This window comes from Homo sapiens, chromosome 10 (assembly GCF_000001405.40).
Source record: "Homo sapiens chromosome 10, GRCh38.p14 Primary Assembly".
NCBI lineage: Eukaryota > Metazoa > Chordata > Mammalia > Primates > Hominidae > Homo > Homo sapiens.
The window spans coordinates 117781691-117788366 of NC_000010.11; the positions used below are offsets into that span (position 1 = coordinate 117781691).

Genomic DNA, 6676 nt, shown 5'->3' on the forward strand with positions numbered 1-6676 from the left:
TTTTAAGTCAATTACGAAAGACTCATTGATCATTTGTTAAGGTCTTGAAACCTTTACAGATTAATTTTATTAAAACAAAAACTCTCACAGTCTGTTAACTCCATAAATGTATTTTAAATTTATTTTTGAAGGCAACAGTAAGCAGTGTGTGCACGTGTGCGTGCATGCAATTCAACATCACCACTCTGAAACAAGCTGCTCTGCATTTGAACAGCGCCCACCTGCCCATTCCCAGAAACGCTGTCTGTTTCTGTGAATGTCAGTGTCAGTCCTCCTGTCCTGGGAGCAGCAGTGCCTGCACAGTTGCCCAGTGTATCTGATCCTCCTGGGCAGCAGAGTGGTGCCTCTGGATATGCCACCTGGCTCAGTGGCAGCTGTTTTGGTAGGGCAGAATTTATGGCTGCTGACCGCAACAAGCAGTGACAATGGGATAGGGACCATGTGAATGCCACCATCCTAAACCCCTGGATGGATGGATGAGAGGACAGAAGGTGAAGAGACCCAGGAATCAGAGTTTTAAGGCCTTGCTAAGGAGGGACAGCAAGGTAGTCCTCAAATGGCAGGCTACCTGGAGAATCTGACAGTGGTCTATGGATAGGGAAGGGCTGTTTTCTTTTATGCCAGTGACACAGGGAGAGATCCACAGGAGGGAGGCTCTGCAAGACCCATGAGGTAAACTGCTTAGCCATTTCTACACTGGCCAAGTCCATTCTTGACTTTGGTTTTAGGCCAACTGTTTGGGGAACGATGCAGAAACCCTGAAAAGAGGCCCGAGGGAGGTGACGATCACGTGGAAGTGTTGCAAAGCAGGGTTAAAGGAGCTAAAAGTATTTTGCACTTTGTGGGGGAGGGGAAGGGAGAGAGAGGGCTGGGATGTGGAGAGAGGGAAAAAGACTTAATAATAAGTAACCATGTTTACATCTGCAGAGGGTTTTCATAAGTATGTGGCTTGTAAGAGTCATTTCCACCGATAAGAGTGGTGGACTTTTTATTCATTCATTTTGATGAAGCAGGAGGAAATTCAGTTAGACCTGAGGAAGGCTGTCTTGAAGGAAAGATTATTTATCATGACAACAATCCTCTGATTAAGATTGCAGAATCTGTCCTATCCTGAAAATCCTCATGACTCCATCCTTTGAACAATAACTGATGCCTTCACTGAGGACCGAGACACAGTTTGAACTGACAATTAATAAAAACAAAAACCCCCTCTCTTCTTGTCTCCTATCTTACTTTTCTGCATAATCACGTTTCTCATAAATATAGCTACAGTAAAATTTTACTTTTAAATAAACTTTGATCTGACTATATGCTTATTCAGGTGATTTGGAAAATATAAAAAAGTATAAAGTGGAAGGAAAGAATTGAGACAAAAATCACTGTTAAAGTTACCTCCTAGTTTTTTTTTTTTGGACACAAATATATAAATTTTTTTCTATACATTTCTATAAAGGTTTGTACCTTGATTATTATTATTTTGAGACAGAGTGTCACTCTGTCATCCTGGCTGGAATACAGCAGCGCGATCTCAGCTTACTGCAAACTCTGTCAGCTTCCCGGGTTCAAGCGATTCTTCTGCCTCAGCCTCCTGAGTAGCTGGCATTACAGGCATATGCCACCATGCCCAGCTGTACCTTGATTTTTTTCTTTTTTTTTTTTTTGTGAGATGGAGTTTTGCTCTCGTCGCCCAGGCTGGAGTGCAGTGGCACAATCTCAGCTCACTGCAACCTCCACCCACCGGGTTCAAGCGATTCTCCTGCCTCAGCCTCCCCAGTAGCTGGGATTACAGGCGCCTACCACCACGCCCGGCTAATTTTTGTATTTCTTTTAGTAGAGACGGGGTTTCACTAGTTGGCCAGGCTGGTCTCGAACTCCTGACTCAGGTGATCTGCCTGCCTCGGCCTCCTAAAGTGCTGGGATTACAGGCGTGAGCCACCGCGCCCCGCCAATTGTTTTTTAACGTAAGCCGCTGCAAAGTCATTTTTCCATGTCATTACAAAAATCTTCTAAACTTTTTCCACATCAAAACAAGCTTTTCTTTTTGTCTTCACAAATGAAATACTGTACAAAGTAACACAAGATTGAAATATTTCAGAACTACATATTAGGAAAAGGTAAAGGTCCCATCCTTCTCATAAATCCACCCCCAGAGAGAATTGATGTGGACAGTTTTGGGCACACACCATTACCTAAAGCATTTTTGATGACTGTGTAATATCTGTTTGCGTGGCTGTACCACACTTTATTTTTGGCCCTCATCATCTTCGCTTATTCACTGTTTATTTGTTCACTTATTAAGTCACTGTTGAGCAGCTCCCTGTGCCCTGTTCTAGGTAATGATATGAAAACAGACTACAAGGGACTAAAACGCACAGCACGTCAGAGGGTGGTGTGTGTCCTGGAGAAAACTTGGCAGGGAAGGGCACGGACAGTGGCGGTGGGGCTGGGTGGAGGGGCTGCCCTGTGAACGCTTGTGCCCGAGCAGAGCTCTAAGCCTTGACCTCAGCTGAGGACCCCGGCTGACCCCCTCGCAGCCCTGTGACGGCCTTGCGAGCCTTTCTTTCTGGGACAGCGGTTATGGACTTCTCGTGCCTGACCTCAACCCCTCTCCTTCCCATTTCAGTTGTCAGAGTTGAGTCTGGAGAATTTTTGCCTCATGCTTTTTCTTTCACATGCAAACTTCCTGGGTATTAAAACTAAGGTTGGCCCTTTATTTTGCCCATTTTCTCACCTGCTCAGCTTGATCACAATCAACAACCCCAGCGGACTGGCTGAAACCAGAAATCCCCACAAGCTGAGCTGAGTCACTCACTCAGGACCCTGATTCTGCCTCCTCACAAGATGGCGCCTTGGACTGAGCCCCAGGAAATGCGCCATTTTGGCCTTGTCTAGCCACCAAAGACCCCAAAGGGCATATTGCCTTCCCCAGGCCTGCAAGAGGAGAATGCGTTTCTGCCAGTACCACATCTGGGCCTCACCTAGCCTCTGACAGGAGACACCTGCAGCCCCTCACCCAGGTTACCCGAGGCGGGTCCCAGCTGCCCGGCTCAGGCCTTCCCCACACTCAAGGACAGCCGGCGGCTCAGAAGGCCACCTGTTTGGGCAACAGAGAATTACTTGATGCTGCACTTAAAATCACCAGAGAATAAGCACAATGGAGCATTAAAAACTTTGACAATTTGATACTTTGCAGAATACCTCCCCCGCAAAAAATCAGTTTTTAGAGCATTAAGTGAGACAAGGCAAAGATGCATAAAGAAAAAGCTGACTGTCTTCATCACCTCCACCCTCCCCTTGAGCACCCAGGCCTGGGCTGGCGTGAGGCTCCCACACAGCTGTGACAGATGTGTGTGGACTTAGGAATTTTGTTTTCATGAAGATGGAATCTTGCTTTCTAAGTTTCTCTCAACCCATCTTGCTTTGTGTACCTGATGGCTCTATAAGTCAGCGAATCTGAATCTACTTCAATCATTTTCTGTGATATTTACACATACCCACATATATATCATTTGCACATTTCAGATCTTATTCCACATGATATTTTTGTGCATAGCTTTGCTTCAAACTTGCTTCCTCTCACTAGTTTCCCTACCACCCACCTCCATGAATTCAGGTTCACAGCCTGTTTCATGTCCTTCTCTCCTCTATGCTGGGCTCATATAGTCATATACAGACACACAAATAAAAACACACATTCAACATATAGACATATTTTATTTTTGAGACAGGATCTCACGCTGTTGCCCAAGCTGGAGCCTAGTGGTGCAATCAGGGCTCACTGCAGCCTCCACCTCCCTCAGCTCAGGTGATCCTCCCACCTCAGCCTCCCAAGTAGCTGGGACCATAGCCATGCACCACCACACCTAGCTAAGACATATTTTATATGCATCACTGCACCTCGCTTTTCTCACCCACCAATATGTCACAGAAATCCCCCCAAATCAAATAATGGGCCAGGCGCAGTGGCTCATGCCTGTAATCCTAGCACTTTGGGAGGTTGAGGTGGGCAGATCATTTGAGGTCAGGAGTTCGAGACCAGTCTGACCAACATGGTGAAACCCCATCTTTACTAAAAATACAAAAAAGTAGCCGGGTGTGGTGGCACACACCTGTAATCTTAGCTACTCGGGAGGCTGCTTGAACCCAGGGGTTGGAGGTTGTGGTGAGCTGAGATCATGCCACTGCACTCTAGTCTGGGCAACAGAGTGAGAGTTTGTCTCAAAAAAAAAAAATCAAATAATGGAGCTCTCGTTTTCTCATAGTGGGAATTAATTCTAATTTATTTGAACATTCTCCCGTTAATGGCATTCATCTTATTTTCTTTTTGGCCCTGACAACAGTGCTATACTAAACACCCTTCTGTGTGTGTATTCCTAGATCCATACCTTTAGGTCATTGTGCTTCTATTTTTATGGACTAAATTCCCAGAAGTGAAGATTCTGAGACTTTGGGAAAATTTAAAGCTTAAAAAATTTAAAGAAAAAAAGAAGGAGAATAAATGGTGCATGTGATGTAAGCCCTAAGCTCGGAGCTTGGGAGGTTGGGACATCGTCCATGGTTCAATTTTTCCCATCCTCATTCCTAAATGGTTCTAAGTGTTCCTTCTGCCTCCTATAGTTAAGAGTCAGAACAGTCTAACTGCTCTGACCTTCAACTGCTCAAATTCTCCCCGGAGCTGGTATAGGAAAAACAAATTCCGCAGCAAGAGGCAGGGTCCCTTACTTGGAAAGTCACCCAGCTTCTCTTCACATTTTTGTCTCCCCATCTTTAAAGCAATCTAGAAAGTGGGCTGCAGAGGGTTGCTGTGGGATCTTCATGAAACTTTTAGGAGATGAGGTTTTGGAGGCTGTGAGGTGTTATATCCAGGTGAGGGCTGGACACTGCACCAGTTTGAACCTGCTCTCTTGGAGGCCTTGGTGGAAGCTCAGCTCCAACAAGGTCCTCTATTTCCTATCCATATGTACTGCTGTGGCCTTGCCAGGATATTTAGCTTCACTTAAAGTGATGCTTGAAACATAGGTTTTCTCTTTTCCTTGAAGGAAATAATTACTGCAATTGAGCAAAACAGCCACCTTTCATTTTAACATCAACAAATGATTGAGTCATGATGGGTGAGAAGAAGAAAACCACAAATGCTTAGGGCAAATCTTTGTTTAAAAAACTGCATGTTCTCACTCATAAGTGGGAGTTTAACAATGAGAACACATGGACACAGGGAGGGGAACATCACACACAGGGGCCTGTCAGGGGAGTGCGGGGCTATGGGAGGGATAGAATTAGGAGAAATACCTAATTTAGGTGATAGGTTGATGGGTGCAGCAAACCACCATGGCACGTGTATACCTATGTAACAAATCTGCAAGTTCTGCACATGTACCCCAGAACTTCAAGTATCATTAAAAAAAGAAAAAAAAGTAATTAGATAGAACCATACCATTAAAAAAAAAAAGGCTGATAGAATCTCAACCTATTCATTTAGCAATGTTGTTCATTACCCATGTAGCTGGACCAGTCTGAGCCTAGGGGTAGGGCGGTTTGAGGTCAGGCCAGTGTTCAAATACTAGCCCTACATAAACAATGGTCTTGGTCCACTATTTAGGTAATACAGCAAATATTTCTTTCTCATGATTCCGGAAGCCAGGAAGTCCAAGATCAAGGTGCTGGCAGATTCAGTGTCTGAAGAGGACCTACTTTCCGGTTCCTAGATGGTACCTTCTTACCATGTCCTCACATGGAGGAAAAATCGAGAGTGTTCTCTGGGGTATCTAATGTAAGGGCTCTAAGCGCATTCATGAGGATTGTGCCTTTATTAACCTAATCACCTCCCAGAGTCCTCACCTCTAAATACCATCCCCTTGGGGGTTAGGATTTCAACGTATCGGCCACCATGGTGGCTCACGCCTGTAATCCCAGCACTTTGGGAGGCCAAGGTGGGCAGATCACCTGATGTTGGGAGTTCTAGACTAGCCTGTCCAACGTGGTGAAACCCCATCTCTACTAAAAATACAAAAATTAGCTCAGGAGTGGTGGTGGGCACCTGTAATCCCAGCTACTCGGGAGGCTGAAGCAGGAGAATCTCTTGAACCTGGGAGGCAGAGGTTGCAGTGAGCAGAGATCGCACCACTGCTCTCCAGCCTGGGTGACAAGAGCAAAACCCTCTATCAAAAAAAAAGGCGGGGGGGAGATTTCAACATATGAACTTTAAACATTCAGACCATAACAAGAATGAAAGCTAGTCCAAGCATCATGTGCTGAAATCTGGCATAACCCTTCTTCCCCTGTCCTGGTACATACACAGCGATTGGTGCCATTGGTTTTTAACCATGCTTGCCAGAACCTGGGGAGAGGGAGACACAGATACAGGATGAGGTACATTTGCTTTAGATCCAGTTGAGAAATGCTTAGTTTCACTGAGAGGAAAAGTGGTTCCATGCAGTCAATTCCATGGAAAAGGTCCCTGTACATTTATAGAAATCTGAGAGATGTCACAGGACATCATGGAAAGAACAGGGGTAAGTGAGAGGGCTGGGCTCTGATCATGGCTCTGCCACTAAATACTTTGAAGACCTTTGTGTGGCATCTTACTTCTCTGGGCCTCAGTTTACCTGCTTGGACTAAAACCATTATACTAGATGCCTTCTAAAGCCACTCTCAACTATGGAACTCTAGGGGAATT

General features: G+C 45.2%; 1 annotated feature.

The window, feature by feature from the left end:
* Positions 4097-4267: a silencer, noted in NCBI's record as "fragment chr10:119545298-119545468 (GRCh37/hg19 assembly coordinates)". NCBI's record gives its function as "represses an EF-1alpha promoter that drives an FKBP-Casp9 reporter gene in an ReSE screen in phorbol 12-myristate 13-acetate-treated (for megakaryocytic differentiation) K562 erythroleukemia cells {active_cell/tissue: K562(+PMA)}" and the evidence as "EXISTENCE:reporter gene assay evidence [ECO:0000049][PMID:32094911]".